Here is a 25,410-nt window from a genome sequence, read left to right as displayed (position 1 = left end):
TCCTTTACTGCTTTATAATTCTTTGGAGAGCTAATTTTAAAAACAACTTTGCTGTTTACACTCTTAAAATTTTAGCACATATATGCAACTCAGAAAATTGGACTAGATGGGAGAAAATCCATATAGTAGCAAAATTATTTTATAAATTATTAACTGGCTGGCATTTTTATCTAAGTATGAGAATCATGAATTTTTTTCAGCATTTCCTTTTAAAGAGGTTATAAAGTTAAGCTGTAAAAGGATTCACATCAGTCCTGCTGAAACAATGGATGATAAAGTCCAAGCAAATAGCCATTGACACAAACTTGTCTTTGTCTTTATAGGAAGGGAAATTTCAAGAATAACTCTAGAAACAAAGTAATTTTTATAGAGTGAAGGCAAGACTGTGCATTAAAATGTGCTTTTTGTTAGGAGGTAGTCATGTGGATTGGCTCTGTGTCCCCACCCAAATCTCATCTTGTAGCTCCCATAATTCCCATGTGTTGTGTGAGGGACCCAGTGGAAGATGATGGAATCATGGGGGCTGGTCTTTCCCGTGCTTTTCTTGTGATAGTGAATGGGTCCCACGAGATCTGATGGTTTTAAAACTGGGAGTTTCCCTGCACAAGGTCTCTTTGTCTGCTGCCATCCACATAAAATGTGACTTACTCCTCCTTGCTTTCCACCATGATGTGAGACCTCCCCAGTCACATGGAACTGTTAAGTCCAATAAACCTCTTTCTTTAGTAAATTGCCCAGTCTTGGGTATGTCTTTATCAGCAGCATGAAAACCGACTAATACTGGTAGACTACTGGATCTAGGCCCAGTTTTGCTATTTATTAATAAATAGAATTGCATAGCTCATTTTGGGTAGCTTATCAAAATCCTGAACCTCCATTTCCTTATCAAAAGATAGAATTGAAGTAGATGGTGTCAAAGGTATGACAACTCTAAGCTTTTTATAACTATCAAATATAATTGTAGATTTTTAACAAAATGCAACAGGTAGAGAGAGAGAGATGAAAGAAGGAAGTAAGGGGATAAATTAAATTTAAAATGATGTCAAGCATTAATTTAAAAAGTAACCTTTATTGACTTGAAAGTAAATTTATTCTGTTTTTAAACACTATTTTAAAAATATGCTTTATTCACATTTATGAAATCATTTCTTCAATTAATATCATACCTGAAGTCATAGTACATGTTATTTTTTGTTATTGAACAATTTTTGTTATGCTATGATCTGAGTGTTTGTGCCTCGAAATTCAATAGTTGAAAACTTCTCTTATGTGACAGTATTAGGAGGTGAGACCTTTGGGAAATGATTAGATCATGAAGATGGAACCCTCATGAATAGGTTGTGCCTTTTACAAGAGGTCCAAGAAAGACCCCTTACCCCTTCCACCAAGTGAGGGTGGAAAAGATGCCTTCTGTGAACCAGAGTGGGCCCTCACCTGGTAGCAAATCTGCTGGCACCTTGTTCTTGAGCTTCCTGGCCTTCTGAACTATGAGAAATAAATTCCTATTGCATAGAAATCACTCAGTTTATGGCATTTTTGTTATAGCAGCCTGACTAGACTAAGACATTGTAGTATGTAAGCAAAATGGGCTCATTTTTATATATGACAGAGACAAAAAAACATAAAACATATTACTGGAAAGATACTAAAGCACTCAGATAAAATGAAATGGAAATGCTATTTTCTCCATGAGAAAACAAAAAAGAAGAGGAAGATAATAAGGTGCCTGATTTAAAAAAAAAAAAAAAACTTTTACTTTTGAATAGTTTCAGATTTACAAAAAAAAGTCGTGATGATAGTACAGAAGGTGGCTATATAACCTGTACCCAGTTTCTGTTATTGTTAACATACCACATCTCTATGATTCATTTTTAACAACTAGTGAATGGTTATTGACATATTTTAATTAACTAAAGACCAAACGTTATTCAAATATTTTTACTTTTTACCTAATAACCTCTTTCTGCCCCAGGATCCAATTCAGGGTGTGTGACATTACATTTAGTCATCATGTCTTCTGATTTCAGTCTGTATAATTCCCAGTTCCTCACAGCTGGGACTCCTGACATCCCATATACAAGAGCAACTCCACCCCTGTGTCAGGCCATATTTAAACTGTGCTAATCCCCCAGGCAGAAGCCTCAGTATCAAGTCCCATTCTTAATATCAAGTCCCATTAGGTTTGACCCCATACTAAAAGCTACCAAGTTAGCCAGTCAGTCCCAAATTACAGGCCTTCCATGTACTCTGTTCCAGCAGCTACTTTTCTGAGGCTAAGACCCCTTTGCTTTTAATCTGATCTAGGATCAATGTCTCCTGCTGAATTTGACTCCTATGCTCACACCCTAGTCACGCATCCTTCAGTGTCAGGCTCTTAAAAGAAGGTGGTCTTGTCTATAAGCTCAACCTTGCTATGTGCCACTGATTCTAAAGTTGAGCTTCTGCAGTAATCTAATTTAAGATCTTTGTTAAATAACCTATCTGGTTTTCCTCTCAGAAACCTAGGAGCTTGTTTTTCTTCCAGACAGATTTCCTGGTGGGTATTAGGATCCTGTCCTGGAAATCCAGTCTACCAGCTAAGGCCTTGTTTCGCCATGGACACCTGCACCACCTGTCCTTAGGACCCACATGATCACTGGTATCATGTCATGGATCTCCACTCTCAGCCCAGTCCTCTGAAACACATGCCAAGTAGTTCCTATATGAAATGAATGACTGGTCAGGGGCCATCATGATTATACTCAACAACTGTGATTGTACTCTACAAATTTTCTCTGAGTAAATGCCCATGGGCCAAAGCCCAGGTCATAAGCCTTGGAACCTGAGTCAGCTTCCTAGGGGACAGAGTGGCTCCCTCTCCGGTCAGGCCTGGCTCTGCCCTGCCCATTCTCACAGGGAGCCATCAGTCACACTCTCCAAATGAAACAGTCTTTTAACTGAACAACTCAGCAAAAGGGGGAAACTCAGTTTTTGTCTAAATGAAAGAAAATTGAGGACCATTTAGAGGCCATTTCCTGACTTTATCTAAATATAAGTTAAATTCTACACTGCATTTGGTAACGGATAAGCTTTGTTTGCAGCTATAGAAGTCATGATTGTTAAATTTGGTCAAGATAAACCATTTACTTTAGCTCTTTTTATTTGACATGACCCTGATAAGATACAAATTTGAAAACCACATAAAACATTTGGAAATACTAAAACATTGATTATGTAAATTTAAAATTTTATTCATATAGGGATCCTTCTTCCAGCAAAAAAAATTTAATTTTAAAAATCTTAGTTTTTTTGTTTACCCAATTGTCAAAATCAGATTTATCAGCTAGCATAAATCATAATTCCTATAACAGTTTCACAAAATAGGCTAGGTTTATAAACACAATCTATAGGGTGCTTTTTCTTATATTCTATTCATTTTAATTTTTAATTGATGCTTATTATTTAATAATGTTATTCTTTGTTATTATTGACACCTTTGAGTTTAAGTACTCTGTAGTCTAGACAGGATACACTTATTGATACTGTAAATAATAGATAAAGGATTAGTGTGCAATTTACTGTTAATGTGATTGATGGATTCGATTCTCCACTGTAATACTTCTCCATTCTTATTTTAGCTCCAATGCCAACGGTCTTGATCATTGGACAATGCCTATAATGACTGCATGAAAATGAACGTGGTTCTTCATATTTCTTAAATTTGTTCTTTTGGTCTTGTCGTTTCATAAAAATTGTGTTACGAATGGAATGGTACAAAATGGAGCTTCAAATCAGGATCTGTTTTGCTGTTGTACTGCCTTGCTATATACAATTTATTTTTCAGAGGTGGAATCTTGGGTTTGTTTAATGGAAGGTGTGAAGTCAGAGAAATGAGAATAGAAGTAGCTTTTCATGGCTGTGTTTACTGAGGTGAGGCAGAATGACAGAGTGGACCTTGTTCCTCCTCCTGTGCAATTCACAGAGCTTATAGGAGGTGACCCTGAGGCCGAGGCTGAGATTTCAGGTGAACCTCTGAAAGGGTGAAAAGGCATTCTGCCCAGCAGGCAACTATCCATGCATCACCCTTAGTCATATTAATATTAAAAGAAATCCAGCATATACCTGAGAACATCCTTGCTTTATCTCTGTCGAGAACAAGACACAAAGAATAGGCTTAATTGCAGATATTTTACATGTCTGTATATGAATTTTTAATTGCAATGAGAATGGGATTAAAATTAGAAAAAAATATCGCTGATTACAGGTTATAAAGTATTAAGCATACTCAGTTTCTAGATCTTGATTTGTAATACTATTCTCCAATAAAAAGCATCAGGTTCTGTGGAGAAACGGCCGATTCTAGGAATGGGGCAGAAAATATACAAGACAAGTCTGCAGCATCGTGTAGTGTCATCAAATAAGGAAATGCTAAAAACAAAACAAAAACGGAGTATGTTAAAGGAATATAGAAGCCAACAGAAAGATATTCCAATGGCCCCAGCTGGGATAATTGGAGCAAGAAAATAAATAGTGCAGTATTACATTATATCCCAATGTATAAAACAAATATTCATGAGTTATTGAATAAATAACATGTACAAAAGAATTCCAAATAATTTGTATAGCTATTCCCTCAAAGATATGGAGAATAACTCCCCCTGCAACAACCCCCATAAGTATGGGCTGCACATAGTGACTTCCTTCTAAAGAACACAGCATGGAGGGAAGGGAAAGAGTAACTCTTATTGGAAAATAACTCTGCTTCAGCCACATAATCGCATTTGACATCATCCATGACAGGTCACGTTGACAGCATGAACCTTCGATGTGATGTGAGGAAAATGGCATTCTACCTCTGTGTTCTTCCTCCCCAAAATTTGTAACCACCATCTAATCATGAGGAAAACATCATACAAGTCCAAATTGAGGAAGATTCTACAAAATGCCTGATTAATATTCATCGAAACTGTCAAGGTCATCAAAAGCAAGGAAAGTCTGAGAAACTGCCACAGCCTAAAGACAATCCAGGGAAACGTGATGACTCAGTGGTATTCGGGGTGGGTTTCTGGAACAGCAAAAGGACAACAGGTAAAATCTAAGAACATACGAATAAAGTGTGAACTTTAATTAATAATGATGTATCAATATTGATTCATTAGTTTTGACAAATGTACCATAGTAACGGAAGATGTTAACAATTAGAGAAACTGGGTGCAGGGTTGTGGGAACCCTGTGTACTATCTTTGCAACTTCCCTATAAATCTAAGACCATTCTAGAATACAAAGTTCATTTTAAAATAAATTTTTAAAATATTTAGAATACTAGACCACGGTATCAAAATAGGTAGAAATCCTTAGTCATAGGACTCTTATAATCCAAGATGTAAACTAAAAATTATACATAAAGCTGTTCAAAACAGGATTAATTAAAATAACATAAAAAGGAAAATTAGGGAATGATTAGAATAAAATTATTGTATAATTATAGCCATTTGATGATGTCAACTTTTAAAAAGCATGGTGTGATGTGTATGGTTTGGCTATGTCCTTACCCAAATCTCATATTGAATTGTAGTTTCCATAATCCCCATGTGTCATGGGAGGGACCTAGTGGGAGGTAATTGAATCATGGGGTTGGTTACCCCCATGCTGCTCTTCTCATGGTAGTGAGTTCTCACGATATCTGATGGTTTTATAAGGGGCTTTCCCCCATTTGCTAGGCACTTCTCCTTCCTGCCATCATGTGAAGAAGGGTGTGTTTGCTTTCCCTTCCATCATGATTGTAAGTTTCCTGAGGCCTCCCCAGCCACGTGGAACTGTGAGTCAATTAAACCTCTTCATAAATTACCCAGTCTCTGGCAGTTCTTTATAGCAGTGTGAGAATGGGCTAATACAGGTGGTATATAGGCAAATGCATGTGAAGCACTACTGAATGAAAAATATGAAAAGATTGATAACCTCTGGCCTTCTTGTGGTCTGAGAAAAACAGACTTCTTACTTTTACTGCTGTGGTCAGGTTTTCTGTTGTCTGTGGCCAATGCACTCCTCATAGTCACAACAAAGAAGTAAACAGACAGTGCTTGAAGATTGTAAATTGGGGTAAATCTTTCTAGAGGAAATACAGAAATATGTAACAAAAATCTCCTGATTTTGGTAACTTATTAGTAAATAAGTTTAAACTTTAATTTGTACATATTTTACCTATTGTGAATGTACATAAAGATTCAAATATTTGAATATTAATTTAATCATTTTGGGTTTGGGGTTTTATTTGAGTCTCACTCTGTCATTCAGGCTGGAGTGCAGTGATATGATCACGGCTCACTGTAGCCTTCATCTCCCAGGCTCAACTGATCCTTCCACCTCAGCCTAGTGGGTAGCTGGGACTGTAGGTACATGCTACCATGCCTGGCTAATTTTTTAAAATGTTTTTGTGGAGATGGGGTTTTGCCATGTTGCCCAAGCTGGTCATGGTCATTGTTAGTAGCATTAAAAAAAACTACTTTATATCCCAACAATATATTATTTACATAAATATTATATAATATTTACATAAATTATGGTTCAACCATCCAATAGAATACTTTACACTCATTAAAACTCAGGTTGTATAACTTCACAGGAAAAGCTTCATAATAAGTGTAAAAAGGAGCTTTCTCAAAGAAGTAGGAATAATCTCATTTTAATATAATGATAATTACATATTTATAATGATTACTTACATATAATTATATAATATATGATTATAAATTATCAATATACTTATATAATTAAATATAGAAAATAATATAAAACATATAAATATTTTTATATTACATAGGCAGAAAAGTTGGAGGATTTTACTAACCAAAACTATAGTAGTGATTATCTTTAACAGTGCTTTTTATTTTTTTACATTACATCTTACATTTTGTATAATACATTTTTTCTACAATTTCAAATTTTACATTGTTCTTGTATTGCTTTTTCAACCAAAAAAGAATAAATATTATTTTTTTAATTAAAACCATGGTTAGAACTCAGCTGATATGAATGTAAAGTCAATGGCTATAAAATTATTTTTTAAATTGTTACACATGGACTTACTCCTAAGTAAATGCATTTCCCCATGAGAAGAATTATTTCTGTCTTTACTTTAGTGTCTAGAATACTGCAATTTTGTGTAAATATGAAATTGGGTCTTGCTCATCTTCATACAACTTTCTTAGGTGCTCATGGCATCAGAGAGCCAGTAGTGTTTTAAACAGAGTCCTTACAATCTGGAAATTTGAGTTCTAAGTTTGGATTATTTACATCTTCAATTGTGTTTTCACTAAGTCCCTTCACTCTTCGGGAATTATAGTTTCCTACATGTAAAAAGATATCTCTTATGATTAAATCATGAGGTATCCTGGGCAGATGATGACTTCAGTGATGTTGTGCCCCCGAAAAAGAGTGTGGCTCAGAGCGGGACATGTTTTCCTTTCCTTTGAATGCATATTACCTTGGTCATCTCCACTGCCTCCTACAAGGCAGATAAGCAACAGATGTGACCATTACAAACACTCGTCAGATGAAGCAGTGACATAAACAGGCAGAGTAGGATGAGGGTGTGTTGTTTTGCAGACCACGTGGGAGGACCAGCTTTCAGAGCCAAGAATGAATATTGGATGAAGTTATTAGGTAAAAATGGACTTGCTCAACATCCCAGAAAGGAAACTCCTCCTGTGCCCGAGTTCAAGAACAACTTCCTAGGGTGGAATGAGAGACTTCAGCTGATGGAGGGGAAAATGACATGCCACCTGGAGAAAAACCCAAGGAGAGACCAATATTCCTCTTGTTCCCCTTACAGGTCTTACACTTTCCCACTGAAACAGGAGTTAACATCAGCACAATTCAGGTGCCCGAGGAGTTCCTTTTTTTTCAGAGGCAGGGTCTCTCTCTCTCTCTCTGTCTGTTGCCCAGGGTGGAGTGCCATGGAGCAATCATAGCTCACAGGAGCCTCGAACTCCTGGTCTCAAGGGATTCTCTTGCCTTGGCTCCCCAAAACTCTGGAATTATAGGCATAACCCACCACACCCAGCTCCTGCGGGGTTCTTTATCTTTGGCAAGTCTTAAGTTAGCTCCAACTTGATTGGGATGAGGATAGAGTAGATTCCTTCTATCTCTTTTTTTAAATTAAAGTAGTTTAAGAAAAGATATGGAAATGCAGAAATGGATACAATGTACTCTAAAAAGATGTCAGGAATACACTCCCTCTCACGTTCTCTCTCTCCCCTCTCTTTCTCTCTCTCTCTCTCTCTCCACCCCCCTTCCTCCCTCCCTCTCTCTGTTTATGCCAAGCTGAATGGGAAAACGTGACAGGGTACACTTTCTGAGGGTTTCAAAAAGAAAAATAGTAACTTTAAGGTAAAGAAGCCTGGAAGACACCACCTTAACCTACTAATCAAAGTTAACATCATCAGTAAGAGACAAATCAACGGCCTATGTCTCCCGATATGCTGCACTCAAAAGGACATGGCATAATTCCTGTGATTTTTTTACTCAAAATAATTAATGTATATTTAATTGTGGAATCTATCAGATAGCCCTAAATTTGGCCAGGCACAATGGCTCACGCCTGTAATCCCAGCACTTTGGGAGGCCAAGGTGGGGGTATCACTTGAGGTCAGGAGTTCGAGACCAGCCTGGTCAACGTGGTGAAACACCCTCTCCACTAAAAATACAAAACTTAGTCTGACAAGGTGGCACAAGCCTCTAATCCCAGCTACTCAGGAGGCTGAGGCAGGGAAATCTTTTGAACCTGGGAGGAGGAGGTTTCAGTGAGTCGAGATTGTGCCACTGCACTCCAGCCTGGGTGACAGAGTGAGACTGTCTCAAATAAAAAAACATAATAACCCTAAATTTAGAAATATTTCTAAACATAACTGACCAGTGCCCTTCAAAAGTGACAAGAACATGAAAGACGAAGAAGCACTGAGAATCAGTTCTAGAATAAAGGAGAGTAGATATACATGGCAGCCAAAACCAGCATGTGATCATGGATTGGATCCTGGACAATAAAAATGACATTACAGAGACAATTGGTAAAACTTTAAAGAAGGTTTAATAATTGTACTGAATCAATGTTTAATCTCCTGATTTTGATAATTTAGTTACATAAGATGTTAACTTCTGGGAAATTTTGGTGAAAATGTACAAAGATTTTTTGTAGCTGCTTTATAAACCTGAAATGATTTAAAAATGAAGAGTTAAAAAATTAAAAATAAACATATGAAAATGGGCAGAGAAATAATTTCATATTTCACATAGAACTCAGAGTACTTTTAGTAGCAACGGTCCTGTCAAGCAGTAACCCCATTTTATAAAATTAAGGAACTTAGACTAAGAAAGCTGAAGTCACATGCTTTAAGATCACAGAATTAGTGAATGTTGACTTCAGGTCTGTTATGGCTGATAACAGATACGATATTTTGATAAATTGAACACTTTAGTCTCATGAAATGCCCTCTTTATCCCTGGTGATATTTCTTGTTTTGAATTCCCATGTAATCTTAAAAGACACAGTTCAGCTTTATTATGATCAGTGTTTGCATGTTACATCTTTTATCATCCTTTTACTTTTATCCTTTTTTGATATTTAAAGTGAATTTCTTGTAGACAGTATGTAAGTAGCAGGTCATATTTTTTTATTCGGTCTTACAATCTCTGCCTTTTAATTAGACTGTTTATACCGTTTGGGTTTAATGTAATTATCAATACAGTTATGTTGAAATTCATCGTCTTACTATTTGTGTTCTCTTTGACCCACTTGTTCTGAGTTCTTTTTTCTCTTTTCCTGCCTTCTATTATATAAATCAAGTATTTTATATTAGTCTGTTTCATTGGCACTATGACTTACTCTCTCCATTTTTAAAAATGTTTGCTTTAAGATTTACAATATGCATCATTAACTTTTCACAGTCTACCTTCAATTAATATTATGCCTCTTCCTATGAAAAGTAAGAACTGTACAACAGGATACATCTTTTTCATCTTTTCTGTCTGAAATTTGAAATGCTCCAAAATTCAAAACATTTTGAGCACCAAATTGATGCTTCAAGTGGAAAATTCCATACCTGACATCTTTGCCTTCTACAACTCAATGCATACAAACTTTGTTTCATGCACGAAAATATTAAATATTTTACATAAAATTACCTTCAGGATATGTGTATAAGGTGTATATAAAACATGGATTAATTTTGTGTTTAGACTTGGGTCCCATTCCCAAGATACCTCATTATGTGTATTCAAATATTCCAATATTCAAAAAAATCCAAAATTCAAAACCCTTCTGGTCCCCAGCATTTTGGCCAACAGATATTCAACCTGTATTTTTGCATAGACTTTACTTCTACATGTATTACAAAACATATAATATATTGATTTTTTTTTTACTGACAATTATCTCTTAAGGAATCAAAAAATGAGAAAAATATTTGTTTATTCACATTTACTATTTCTGTACTTTTCAATTTCAATACTTTGCAAAGATTTAAGTTTATTACATAATTTTCCTGAAGAACAACCTTTAACATTTCTGTAGTACAGATTTGCTAGTGACAAATATTTTTCAACTTTTGCTTGTCTAAAATAACTTTATATTTTTTCTTTATTTTTAAAGGATCTAGTAAAGGATATTTCTGCTGGATATGTCTAGGTCATGAGTGTTTTTCATTTAGTACTTTATAGATGTCTTTTGACTCACAGAATTTCTGAGCTGAGATCACGCCACTGCACTCCAGCCTGGGGGACAGAGTGAGACCCTGTCTCAAAACAAAAAACAAAAAAACAAAACAAAAACAACAACAAGAAAAGTTTTTTTCTCATCATCACTTATTATCAGCCTTTTAATTATGATGGGCTTTGGCATGTTTGTGTCTTCTTGTGTATATGTTTATCTGTCTTGGGATTTGTTGCATTTCTTGAACCTTTGCATTTACAGTTTTCACCAAATTTACGAAAAAAAATTCCATTATTCAAGTATTTCCCCATAACCAAAATTACACATGATATGATTTGGCTGTGTCCCCACCCGAATCTCATCTTGAATTGTAGTTTTCACAATCCTCATGTGTCACGGGAGGGAGCCAGTGAGAGATAATTGAATCATGGGAGTGATTTCCCCCATTCTGTTCTCATGGCAGTGAATAAGTCTCACAAGATCTGATGATTTTATAACGGGAAACCCCTTTCATTTGGTTCTCATTCTGTCTTGCTTGATGCTATGTAAGAAGTGCCTTTCGCCTTCCACCATGATTGTGAGGCCTCCCCAGCCATGTGGAACTGTGAGTCCATTAAACCACTTTTTCTTTATGAATCACCCAGTCTCAGGTATGGTTTTATCAGCAGCATGAAAATAGACTAATACAACACACATGTTAGATTAGCTTGCTACAGGTCACTAATGCACCATTCTTTTTATTTTGTACTGTTTTATTAGGGATCACAAACATGCAGAGTTCATTGCCAAACATCTAAAGACAGTTGTTCATATATTTTGTCCAATGCTCCAGTTGTTTGTGGTGGGAAGGTAAATCTGTGTCCTGTTACCCCATCAAGGCTGAATGCAAAAGTCTATTTTTCTTTTGATTTGCTAAGTTATGTCTCAGAAAGCCACTGTTCCCTACACCTATTTTCCCAAAGATTGACCTATGTTTCATAGCCTGTGCAGGGCTTTCTCCTTCACTTTTATGATTCAATTCCTTAGAGCAGAAACCTAAACAGGAACTGAGACCACATCAGGCTAGTGAAATGAATAATAAGTAAAACATTGAGGCATGCTTACGCTCAAAGAAGTATTAAATAAACATAAAGATGTGCTATATCTTGATTGTCCAATAACCAAACTCTTTACAGAAGAGAGTGCTTTCCTGTAGTCGTGTAGTATTTTATGAGTACTCACTAGGCACTTGGAGAGAATAATTAATTAAACAAACAAGAAATGGTTCTGGACCATTTTTGGCTGTGTAAAAGTTGGAACATCAATAAAGTCATATCTAAAGATAACAGTCACATTAAACAACCTATTAATATTATGTGCCAGAAAAAAGGATAATAATATACATTGCATACAGATAGTTATGACCTTAAATGTGTTTATTTCGATCGGTATTTGAAAACCTGTTATGAATCCTCCATGTCCTCAAGGTAATTGGTATATAGACCCTTTAGTGTCTGGCAACATCCTATTTTTCCTTGACTCTTCTTTTGACCTGCCTGCCCTATCATTTATCTCCTGCCACTTAGAAGGCCCATCCTCTTCCTTTTCATCTGATGAGCACCTACCCAATTTTTATGACCCAACACTTCTGGGAGGCTTTTCTTGGTTCGTTCAAATATCATCTCTTTCTTTCTCCTTAGTGCTTCTTCATCAGTTAGCACTTTATCATATTGCATTCTGATGATTCTAAACCTGTATCACCATTAGTTTATGAAGGTGGGAAACTTTCTTATTCATATTTTTATCTTCAGATTACAATATTGTAGTTGATGCATTTTAGTCAGATAATAAAAATTTGTTAGGAAAATCAATGAATGAGGGAATTCATATAAAACAACTTATTAAAGAGACCTGGAATTTCATTTTTGGAATAAAACTAGAAGGAATTTTAGACCTGTAAATTTGTACTAGAAATAACAGAATCAAGTATTGTCCTGGAAACCCTGCATATTTTTAGAAAGAGGTTTTGGAACCAAAAAAAAAAAAAAAAAAGTATGTGAAGAAAGGACTAGAGTAGGGAGCATTTACTTCTGTCTTTTGACTTCATGGGAATTTACTTGGCTGACTTATTGAAGGTATCTGCTTTTCAAGAGTCAATTGTGTGAAAGGACTCTTTGTGAATGACACGTAATTTAAAAAACTTCTCCCTTGTCATAACAGAAACAAAAGATCAAGCAGAGGAGTGCATGTGTAGGCAAATTATGAAAGAAGTTATAGTAAAGCAATTCTTTTGAAATTATAATATTTCAGGACACCAATTATGCATGTCATGTTTCAATAGAAGACATTCATAAATTTTAAAATATTAGCTTTATTAATTATTACACATTGTACTCATAAATCATGATATCACTTTATTCTCCATAAATATATATAGCTATAATCCATCAACTTACAATTAAATAAATATGTAAATAAAAAATAAAAATACTGGCTTTTAAAATATAATGGTTTTTAAATATTTTAGTCATAGTCCTAGGCATTTTTTCTGTAAGCTGCCCACAGCTCAAAGGATAAAATTTTTATGCAGAAGACTAATAAAAGATATTATCCTCAGGAAACAAAGAATGACTCAAAATTTAAGAAAAATCTTTATGTACCCATCCACCCTAATGTCTACATGAGGACCCAGCAGGTCAAACAAAAAGGCATGGTACCTGACAAATGGAGAATTAACAAGCATAAAACAAACATTTGTAATAAATACATTGGCAGAAAGTAATTTTTCAGGAAGAAAGAGGAGGATGTAAACAGATTTACCTTGGTCAAATGGAAGAACTTGGCCGAGCACGTTGGCTCATGCCTGTAATCCCAGCACTTTGGGAGGCCGAGGCGGGTGGATCACCTGAGGTCAGGAGTTCAAGACCAGCCTGGCCAACATGGTGAAACCCCGTCTCTACTAAAAATATAAAAACTAGCCGGGCATGGTGGTGGACGCCTGTAATCCCAGCTACTTGGGAGGCTGAGGCAGGAGAATTGCTTGAACCCAGGAGACGGAGGTTGCAGTGAGCCGACACAGTGCCACTGCACTCCAGCCTCGGCAACAGAATGAGACTCTGTCTCAAAACCAAAAACAAAAACAAAACACAAAAAACAAATGGAAGAACTTAGGCGTGTATCAGTGCTTTGCTTACATAGGAATGAGATTTGCATTCTACATCTTTTACACCAAGCCATTCATATATTTCTTAAAATATAAAAAGGGAATCCATAATAATGAAATTACTATGTATTAATAGTTAATTTGACAAATGCTACATGCCCTAAAGTCTATAAAACTTTATTAGAAATAATTTTTAAAATATCTTAATATAGCTTTCCACCATATTCAGGTTTTTACTCTGTTTCAACTCTAAGGGCTATTTCATATTAAGTCTAAAGAGCAATATAGGTTGCTATAAAATATTATTAATTTAAAAATATGATAGAAAAATTAAGGCATTCATTCCAACCACCTCAATATTGTGACTAACATGTCAAGTTTTGTTTACATTTTCTAGTGTTTACAAATAAGAAAATCAGTTACATTAAGCTTGCATATGTATAATCACAGAAATGGAACACAGCAGCACACAATTTTGCATTAAAAGCACTAGGGAATGTTGATGTTCCTTTACCATGAACTGTTATGCTTTTCACATATTGTGACATCATATCTTCTTAGAACTAGGTACAATTTTCACATAGAGTGAAGAAGCAGATGTGTTTTGTCCTTAATGAAAGCATTAGACAGTGTTACTTCTATTCAGCAAATGTGACTGGAGTTTTCTTATGGCGAGTTTGTTGGTCATAGGGCAACAGAGAAAACAGATATGAGTGAAGGAAAAAGCTATGCTAAGGACGGGAGGCTGACCTGTTATGAAATAGGAAGTAGCTCATAGGAGTAATATGCCCAATAACTAGCTTGCATACCCTTGAGCAAATGACCCCCTTGGATTTTCAGTTTCTTTGTGCAAAACGTATACAATGAGAGCCCTTTAATGATAATATAGCTACAATACAAAACATTATAATTTCTGTACATGAAAGACAAGAAATACAGTACAATTCTCAAGTATGATTGAAAGGTATCTCTAAGGGTTGTTTATCTTTTCATAAGAGAATGCAGCATAATAGGCATAAGGCACTGGGTTATGGGGGATTCCGAGATGAATAGGACAGACTCTTTCTTCCTAAGAAGAAACTTCTTGAGAACAGCAAGCATTTATTAAGTACTTATTTTATTCCAGGCACTGGACTTCATTACTTCCTTACTGCAACCTGGCGCTTAAAGTGCTATCATCACAAGGATGAAGAAACAGTTCAGAAAGGCTGATTGAGATGGCTATGGTCATGCCTTATACCACTGGCAGGTGTAAGCAGTAACTCCAGACCCTGAGTGCTTCTCCATTGTAGCCCTGTGTCTTTTTTTCAGGCATGGGTAACATTTCAAGGCAAAAAGTGATGAGTACTAAGACTCCTCCAGCAAAATGCTCAGGAATCCATGAGAAAGGAAGGGAGACTTCCTCGTTTAAATGTCATGTGAATTAGAATTGTAACATGGGCAACGGTATGCCAAAATACTCCCATGTCAAAATGGCAAGGTCAAAGTAGCTGTATCAATGTGTGATGTGTCTGCCATCATGGGTCAAGGAAGAAAATTTGATCCACTAGACAGGGAGAGATAGTCCCTGGGAGAACAGGGTTGAGTGTATAATTGACAAGAAGTTTGGGGACTTGATACAAAATCCTAGCTGTGGTGATCGGCCACTAAATCTTAGATCTCACAGAGGAATGCTTCTAAACCTTACTTAATGAAGGAGTGAAAGCTGTTTGACATTTCCTGGTTAGCCAGGACCGTACCTCTTTGTACTTTTCAATGTTTTTACCTCTCTTTAGAATGCCCTTCCTCTTTAGGGCAATTAATGAGTAACTATTACACATTAATTTGTGTATTAATTCTGCCCGTCCAATACAAACAGGGCTTGCTCCATGGAGCTCTCCCTAAGCTCTTTTCCTCTCCCAGATTTCCTTCTCTAAATAACCATAATCCTTACATTAAAAACAGTTATTTTAGATTTTCAGAGAAGTTGCAAGGACATTTACAGATAATCCCTGTATGTCCACTTTTCTCAACCCACTCCCTGGTAATCCCCTGTAAAAGTTAACAGTTAAATCTATTAAGGCTTAAGTACTAACCTGTGCATGTCACAGATTTGAATTCTGAAGAAAAGAAACCCAGAGGGCAAGTCTTTGCCTTGAAAGTAGCACAATAATTTTGCCGTCACTTTAAAAATTCTGCTTTAAATTATTCAGATTTCAATATTCTTGTTTCTTTTCAGTTTGTAATTACCATTAGGATTCTATCAACAACAATATTTTAGCCAATTATACTACTGAATGCTGTGTTTTTAAAAAAACAATTACAGATGGCAACCCACTTTGCAAATCTCCTCTGTAAAAATAAAATAATATTTAATGTTGGTTTGCTGGTCAATCAGACGAATAATTAAAGCAATGGAGTTTTGGGTTCGTTTCTTATTTAGCAGTGGTCAGTTACACACAAGAAAACTGGCAGGACAGACTGCAGTACTTTCCATTTTGTGAAGATTGCCAAGTAGAGTCAATTTGTTTCCAGAATAACCTTGAAAATGTTTCTCTGATTTTTAGCAGATATGGTTTTGCTGAGAAGTTTTTTGCTTTTAATTAGGATCTTTTAACGTCTTGCCTAATTATTTTCTTTTTAGAGATTACAGTCTTTTTAATAGAGTGATATAAATCTCAGTTCCTATCATAAATCAGCATATTCTGAGCGGAGTCACTCAATTCTATAAAGGATCTGACTCAGCAGGAAGAATAAAAATATGATCCACTTGTCATCTAGAATGCCCGTTGAAAACTTTATCATCCACATCTCTACAAGTTTTCTTCTACAAGCTCATTGTTCCTTTACATCCAAAAATTTTATTCAAAAGAATAAAAAAGGGGAAGTAAACAAAACAAACTGCATGAGAGAGAAGTATGTAGTAGGCATGGATCATCTGGGTCATGTAGGAGTTGGCAAAGTTCATACATGACCATATTTAATCATGTCTTGTTGAAAGTTGTGTGTGTGCGTGTGTGTGCATGCACATTGGGCATAAAGTCATGCAAATGCTTCCATTTCATGCATTTATGACTGATTTATTATAAATGATTTATCATCATTTATCTCAGTCATAAGGTACAGTGGACGTCTATGAGAATACCTTTCATTGTTTACCAAAATATAGCCTAAACAGGGGTGTCCAATCTTTTAGCTTCTCTGAGCCACATTGGAAGAAGAAGAATTGTCTTGGGCCACACATAAAATACACTAAGACTAACAATAGCTTATGAGCTAAAAAAAAATAATAATTGCAAAAAAACCTCAAAATGTTTTAAGAAAGTTTATGAAATGTTTGTGTTGGGCTGTATTTAAAGCTGTCTTGGGCCACATGAGGCCCGTGGACTGTGGGTTAGACAAGCTTCGTAGAACCATCCTTGAGGCAATATGGGTATTGTTTTAGCAAACCCATTACTAACAAATTGAACATTTGGGATTTTAACAGTAACCTTCTTTCCTGAAACTTATTTATTTATTTATTTATTTGAGTCAGCATCTTGCTCTGTCCCCCAGGCTGGAGTGCAGGGGCTCCATTTCTGCTCACTGAAACCTCCGCCTCCCATGTTCAACCAATTCTCGAGCCTCAGCCTCCCGAATAGCTGGGATTACAGGCGCCTGCCACCATGCCTGGCTAATTTTTGTATTTTTTGTAGAGACAGGATTTTACCATGTTGGCCAGGCTGGTCTGGAACTCCTGACCTCAAGTGATCCACCCACCTAGGCCTCCCAAAGTATTAGGATTACAGGTGTGAGCCACCATGCCCAGCCCATGAAACATTTAAATATTACTTATGTACCACTCTACGCATCCAGTTTAATAATCTGAGTGATCATAGGTAATTGAGTGCTCCCTTGAACAATAAGCATCATTTTTTATGTGCTGCGATAGTTATCACAGATGCTTCCAGCCACTTAATCCCTGCGGTGTGAAGGTTACATTTCAGATTGAGGTTTCCAGTAAAGGTATAAGAAAATCTTAAATGAATACCCAAAGCATTATTTATTTTTTTTTTAGAAGCCAAACTGAATTTGTGGAAGAAAAATAAGTCAGCGTTTAATGGATGGAACAGAGAGTGGAAACATCTGACAGAACAGTAGGAAACTTTGTTCTGTTTTGAACGCCTCACCACTACTCATACCATCTGTCATGCATTTCTCATGAAATAAACAATTTTCAGAATTTTTTTGTCCAGGGAAGAGACATTTTGTGTTTTATTGATTTATTTATCCTATGTAGACTTAAGGTAATGACATTTAAGAAAATAACTTTTGAAGGAGATACTTTTATCAAAACAGGTAGTACTTGTTTTATTTGAAAGCCTTTCTCAAGGACATGAGATGGGGATACACATTATAATTCATAGATTGAATGGGAAATGTGGGGGGCGGCTTGGAAAGAGAGGAAGTGATGCCGAGAGCAAATACTGAATTTCCTGCCGTTTTTATTTCCCAAAATCAGAGTGGCTGAGAAAGGGCTGGCTGAGAGAAGGAGCTGGGGGAAAGAAAAGGAAGGATGACTTTTCTCCAGGGCTGGGTTGGGGGGGGTCTCCTTCATAAAATTTTTGAACTGTCGCCACAATCTGGCAATATTTTTATGCCAGAGGAAAGAGGACATTCTCCTCGTTATTTACGGTTTTCATCGGATGTCTCAGTTGATTGTACAAGTTTCTTCCGATCATTCCATGTGTGAAAATTAGCTTTTCTTAAATAGTTATCTTAATAGTCCAGGGCGTTTCCATAACAGTCCAATAACACCCTTGACGTTGAATACTAGTGGCTTAATATGTTTTCAACATTCTGTTTCTATGATTTTTTTTTCTGTGTAATAACTTTCATCTTCAGTTTTCAACTTCTTGTTTCTTCTATCCTACAAGTGCTATTTTTCCCATCTCGAGGAGAAGAATGTTGTGTTATTAGGTTCTGAATGGAGTCTCAACTTCAATGCAGTTCTGTGTTCTTGGGCAAGTTCCTCAACCTCGTGTTTCTTCAATCATCTATCTGCTCCTCGTGGCTGTGGTGAAGGTTGAATGAGATAATATATTTAGAGCATCTGGTTTGTATTAGGAAATAAATGTTTATTCCCTCCCCACACTGTTTCCTCATTGTTCCTATTACTGAGTTCATCTTTCCTGTCCTGGCTTTCATCCCTGGGTCTCTCCTCTTCCCCTGTGTTCATGGCACCGCTTTGTCCTTCTCATGGATGGGACAACAACAACTAACAAGACAGAGGGGCTGTGGGCCGAGGTGACTCCCCCTACGTTTCGCTATGCGCAATACAATTTTAAGGCTTCACAATTTGTATTTCATAAAGCAATAAAAAGCACTGGGCGTTAAACCACCAGAGCTATTCTGGCCTTTGCTCATGGTTTTGAAATCAGATTTATCCTTCATCTACATACCTCACTATCTTCTGAGGTCCAGCCATATTTTGTTGCTTTCTTCCTTCAAATCCCACACCTTCATCATATCTTTATTTGTAATCTCATTATCCTTTTGCTTTCTATTAACATTTCCCCCCACCCCCCTTTAGACTCTCCTCAAATTGGCTATCCATTTGAAAGTAACAGTGATTTCTTCTGGTTAAATACGGTGGCCTTTCATCTCTAAATTTTATCTACCTGTACTGGTGTGGATGAGAATTACCAGGATTAACACTACTCTGTTCTGTGGTAGCTCCTGTGTCTTCACACCTCTCATCCCTGCCCTGCATTCCCATACATGGCCCAGCTTCAACTAATGGTGTCTCTTTACCTAAGACACCTTTTGTAACCATTTCTTTTCTCTTTTTCTAGGCGCCAAAAAAACCTCAAACTCCACTCATTTTCTATTTTATTCACAATGACATCTTCCTCTTAGAACCTCCTGTAAATCCTTGTGGTCTTTCCCTCCCGTCATTTACCTTGTATTAGCAACTATACTGAAATATTAAAATGCGATTTTCATTATTACTACCTTGTTCAGAAACTTGCCTCTCAATTGACAGTTTCTTAAGGTTAGTATGGAAACTAAGTTTCAAGGCTTCCCAGCCAGTAATGCCCTGTGATTTGCTTCGTCCTTATTTTTCTCTGAATACTCTTTTCCAGAAAGGCTTCTAGGTATGTAGAAGAGAATCCTGTAACGGACACATTACTTTGGCTTTTCCTTGGCCAGTGGTAACAGGTAGGGAAGCACGTGCAGAATTATCAGAAACCACAGAGGAGAAAGTGGAGAAAACAACTTTGTCTGTGGCTCCATGTGCTAATTTACATCAAGACAACAATGTACTCACTAGCTTTTCTCAAAATCAGAGAATTGTTCAGGGCTATTTAAAACCATTAAGATTGTTTGCTATTACTTCATACAAACAAGCCCCTGGCCAAATAACAATAACTTAGCTTTCTAGCTCTGCTTTTTTTTTTTTTTTCTTGAGATGGAGTCTCACTCTGTCTCCTATCTCCTAGGCTGGAGTGCAGTGGTACGATCTCGGCTCACTGCAACCTCCGCCTCCTGGGTTCAAGTGATTCTCCTGTCTCAGCCTCCCAAGTAGCTAGGATTACAGGCGCATGCCACCACACCTGGCTAATTTTTGTATTTTTAGTAGAGATGGGGTCTCACCATGTTGGCCAGACTGGTCTTGAACTCCTGACCTCAAGTGATCTGCCTGCCTTGGCCTCCCAAAGTGCTAGGATTACAGGCATGAGCCACCACGCCCGGCTCTTGCTCTGCTTTTTAACAGCACTAAAGCCAAGTATTCAAAGCAAATGTTTCTCATGAGCCCTTTTCCAAGAACCAGTCTAATGGCTTCCATGCTGTTAATTGTGTTTATTACAAGGGCTGGTAACTTAGTACTCACATTCCTAGTAGACGCAAATACTTATGCTGACATTTGCGTTGGTTTGGCATGATCCCCATAGTTTCTGCATGAGAACAAGGCTGACTGGCCCATTTTCAACTAGCATTCCCAAGTATTCAGAAGGGCTTCTTCTCTCTCACCCTCCTTGTAGTTTCCCTCACTTCACATTCTCTCTAAATCCTTTCCTTCCAATATTCATTGAGCCACCAAGTTGATGCCTTTTTCACATTGTGTTTGCACAGTTAAAGCTAGGTTGGTCTCCCTGCCACTAGTCCTCAGACTTTAATCTATGCCACCTGTCACAGGGAGCTTAGATTTCCTAGGGCAGAGTTGGAAGTCCTTCCTCCTTCAAAACTTGATTGTTCTCCATTCCGGAGGCCATGAGTTGTGGCAGTCAGGGTCCTGCACTTGTCCAGCATCGTGACCCCAGATGCAAAGAAAACTTACACTTTGTATGTATAGTGTCTTCTCCTGACCCTTTTTCAGGAAGATCCTTCCACCCTACTTCCCATTCTCAGTTTCTTAAACTTACTTATCCTTTAAAAACAACCCAGACAAAAATTCTACCTCCTCCGTGAGGCCTTCCCAGGATTCCTTTAAAAATGGGCTCTTATGAATTACAATTTTTGTTACCCATATTATAGATACAAGATTATTTAAGGCTCTAGCTCTATCAGGTGAGCTGACACTTTATCTTGCATTTATAATTATTTTCTGATTGCTTCAAGAGTCTCTATCAATTAAAATCTTGCCTTATTATCTATAGTTCTTGTTTCATTCTTTCCTAATATGTTAATCAGGAAATACTGGCATATCTTTTAAAAATGCTTATGAGACAGTGATATGTTGGGTTCACCTTGGCCAGTTAAGACATAGGATTTAGAAAATAGGAAAAGGCAGGTGAGCAACATATAATGATTGAATAGATACATTACTATACAAACAATATATATGTTTTCTTTCTTTTAATTCGTTCTCCACACTGTAGCCAGAATGATGTTCCACCTGCTTACGTTGCTTCCCTGCTCAAGCCCTTTAAAATCTCACCATTGCTTTTAGGATGCAGAAACCCTTAAGACACCTCATTATGATCTGGTTCCTATTTACCTCAGTAGCTTCCACTCCACTCCATGCCACTGATCTTGTCACATTGAACTTGTCTCTCTGATGAGTCCTTACCCTCTCCGGGCCTTTCTAAATGTTGTTACCTCTATGGGATATAATCTTCCTGCCCCTCTGCCACCCTCATTCCTCAGCAAATTCCAACTCATCCTTTGGATCTCTGCTTAGACATCATTTCCTCTGGGAATCTCCCTCTGACTATCCAGGACTCAAACAAGTGCCCTTCCAAGATTCTCTGACAGCTCATGCACTGCTCCAGCATGGGTCTGTGTTATTATTGCCCATTTAGCAGCCTGACTCCCTGACTTGGCTATCTTTGTGAGGGCAGGGCTGTGCCTGTCCTGTACACCAGTTACACCCCAACATAGCCTAGGTTGGAAAGATTTAATTTTATTTATTTATTTAAAAAAAATAACATGTAGCAAGATTTACTTTTATAAGTGAATATATCTCTTTTTCTACCTTTATCTATATCTATCATTATGAATATGTATGTATGAATACATAATAAATATAGATAAATATAATGTTACATATATTATATTAAAAGTAATGGCAAAACAGCAATTACTTTTGCACGAACCGCATATAATATAATTCTTAAGATGATAGGTCTGGTGAGTGACAAGGTGGGTACTCCTGATGTAGGAGGTTGTCTAAATGTGTCTTAGACTAAATATTTTAGAACACTTATACGCTGTCTTAGGACTTCTATCTTTGATAACCCTTCACTTCTGATCTGTGTAAAATGTCTTTCTGATTCCTTTCTGACTTCCTCCTTTAGGGTTATTTTTAACACTACTCTTTTCCAAATATAGTTCCTCACTCTAATAGAATAGTGCTTTATTCTTTGGATACAGTGCATCCATTTTGCACATTATCCTAAGCAAATCTTGCTTTCAATTTTGTTTGGATTTAAAATAAACTAGACTATGGACGTAATGTTTTCAAATTATCCACTCTGTCTTTTATTTTTGCCGCTGTTGTTGTCATTTTACTTCTGCAAACTCTCTGTAGTCTGGAGCCTGTTAGGAGGTCTTGGCAATCATTCACTTCCTCATAATTTGGAAAACTGTGGAAACTAGACCACCGTTACCATAGCTCATTCTGCGTTGGTGTTCTCTGTGAATCGTGAAAACAGATTTTCCATCACTAGTAGATATAAACTAAAATAAAAGTAACACGAAGTATTCCAAACTACAAATAATGATTTATTCGTTGGCAATTTTCAATATTTTTTATCCACCTTTTGGCCCACTAGCAAAGAAACTTGAGGAAATCAGATGACTTCATTCCTTATTTTTCAGATGCTGGATGGCACCTTTAAGAAATCATGCAACAAATATTCAGTGTTTGGTAGAAGGACACAGATCTAGGAGTCCCAACCCACATATTAAAATGATGCTGAGGCTAAACCTGTTCCGCATTCTTTACCTTACCCCTTGTCCAACTAACTACTTTGTTAACCACCAGCAACAATTGTCCCCACCCCTGCCCCTCCTCAGTGGACTTGCCTCTCTGGCTTCTTGACCTTCGCTTCTTCTACAGGCTCATGATATATCTCCTGCCTTCTGGTCTGGCAAACTAGAAAGGACAAACTAATTACTTGATCTCTCCTTCTGAGCTAAGGACCTTTTCTCATAAGATTCATTCTGGGCCCTGTTGCCTCCTTGGTTCTGGCTCCAGATGGACAGATGTTGGCTGTTATCTTGAACCTAGGATCCGGAAATGCTGGAATTTTTGCCAATGTCACTATTCTACAATTGAAAACATGCAATTGTTGAACCCACCCTACTTCACAGGAGAAATGATTCTTGATATGGTTTGGCTGTGTCACCACCAAATCTTGACTTGAATTGTATCTCCCAGAATTCTCAAGTGTTGTGGGAGGGACCCAGGGGGAGGTAATTGATTCATGGGGGCCGGTCTTTCCTGTGCTATTATCGTGATAGTGAATAAGTCTCACGGGATCTGAAGGATTTCCGCTTTTGCTTCTCTCATTCTTCACTTGCTGCCATCATAGAAGAAGTGCCTTTGGCCTCCTGCCATGATTCTGAGGCCTCGCCAGCCATGTGGAACTGTAAGTCCAATGAAACCTCTTTTTGTTCCCAATTTTGGGTACGTCTTTATCAGCAGCATGAAAACGAACTAATACATTCCCCTCTGGGTTTTTGCTGCAATTGAAAAACTTTATGATCTTCTAGACCAGTCCTTGATCTTATCATGTTCTCTTTTGGTAATAAATAGTTTGTAATACTTCTTTTATGATTCTGAAATAAAAATGATGGATAATATGATCTACCTACACATCACTTCAAAAAAATCAATATAATGCACAAACTAGTATAAAGAGAAATAAGAGAAAAGTAATTTATAATAGATTAGTATGGATTTCATTATATAAATGTTTAAGAATGAGTATTCCAGAGGAATAAGAATATTGTCAGGTGATTGCACCTATGCACCAAACCAACTTGTGACAGCTGCAGAGGCAGATGGTTAGAGGTGGAAATTTTTTAATTTTTATTTTTAATTGACACATAATAATTGTACATATTTATGGGATACAATGGGATGTTTTGATACAAGAAGTGTGTTTTATTTCGAGGCAAAAATTGCATAAGTAGTGTTGCTATCAGAATATGATTTTCGGGGTGGGGGGAGGGGGGAGAGATAGCATTAGGAGATATACCTAATGTTAAATGACAAGTTAATGGGTGCAGCACACCAACATGGCACATGTATACATATGTAACAAACTTGCATGTTGTGCACGTGTACCCTAAAACTCAAAGTATAATAATAATAAAAAATATGATTTTCAAAAAATGTGGTAAAATCAAAACAAAACAAATACAATATTCTCCTTGGGAAATGCAATGTTGTTATATGAAATGAAATTAGCTTCCAGGTTCAAATCACATAAACAGGTTTTGTTTTGTTTTTTTTTTGATATAGAGTCTCGCTCTATCGCCAGGCTGGAGTGCAGTGGCACCATCTCAGCTCACTGCAGCTTCCACCTCCCAGGTTGAAGCGATTCTTCTGCCTCACCCTCTCCAGTAACTGGGATTACAGGTGCCTGCCACCACGCCCAGCTAATTTTTGTGTTTTTAGTAGAGATGGGGTTTCACCATGTTGGCCAGGCTGGTCTCGATCTCTTGACCTTGTGATCCACTCACCTCGGCCTACCAAAGTGCTGGGATTACAGGCGTGAGCCATTGCGCCTGGCCCCGCATAAACAGGTTTTTAACTTATACAGATATCTTGTGGGTCAGTGAAAAGTTACGTGGGATACAAAGCAATTCTTTATTCTCTGGAACTGTCTCATGTATTGTAGGACATCTGGCATTCCTGGAACCTGCCAAAGATCTAGACAAAGCCAGTAGCTTCTTTATCATGGCGACAACCAAAACATGTGCTCTTCCCCATTTTAAAACTGCCACCAAGGGGATGATAGAGCTCTCATTGAGAACCACTGTTGAAAATTACCCACTACCTGCCCAGGAATGTGGACAAGAAGAAAGAAGTGGTAGAAGAGGTGGTGGGTGTGAATTGACATTTATGTGTACTTACTATGTTGCGATGTCCATGAAATAATTTTATGTATTT

At 37.1% G+C, this 25,410-nt stretch overlaps 1 long non-coding RNA gene across 1 annotated transcript in view, besides 2 other annotated features; it reads left to right on the top strand.

The window, feature by feature from the left end:
• Positions 1 to 25,410, top strand: part of LINC01277 (long intergenic non-protein coding RNA 1277) — a 71,162-nt gene that overhangs the window by 10,850 nt on the left and 34,902 nt on the right. Inside the window, exon 2 of the long non-coding RNA NR_038987.1 lies at positions 4,780 to 5,067. This is a non-coding gene — a long non-coding RNA (long intergenic non-protein coding RNA 1277). The remainder of the gene's footprint in view (positions 1 to 4,779; positions 5,068 to 25,410) is intronic.
• Positions 14,615 to 14,815: a silencer, noted in NCBI's record as "peak6176 fragment used in MPRA reporter construct". NCBI's record gives its function as "represses an SCP1 promoter by STARR-seq MPRAs in K562 erythroleukemia cells {active_cell/tissue: K562}" and the evidence as "EXISTENCE:reporter gene assay evidence [ECO:0000049][PMID:32103011]".
• Positions 22,796 to 23,995: an enhancer, noted in NCBI's record as "BRD4-independent group 4 enhancer chr6:143323875-143325074 (GRCh37/hg19 assembly coordinates)". NCBI's record gives its function as "activates an origin of replication core promoter dependent on BRD2, P300/CBP, MED14 and CDK7 cofactors, and independent of BRD4, by STARR-seq in HCT116 cells {active_cell/tissue: HCT116}" and the evidence as "EXISTENCE:reporter gene assay evidence [ECO:0000049][PMID:35650434]".

Source organism: Homo sapiens, chromosome 6, assembly GCF_000001405.40.
Source record: "Homo sapiens chromosome 6, GRCh38.p14 Primary Assembly".
Taxonomy (NCBI): domain Eukaryota; kingdom Metazoa; phylum Chordata; class Mammalia; order Primates; family Hominidae; genus Homo; species Homo sapiens.
The sequence above is the reverse complement of the archived record's forward strand: the minus strand, read 5'-3'. Positions and strand labels throughout refer to the sequence as shown.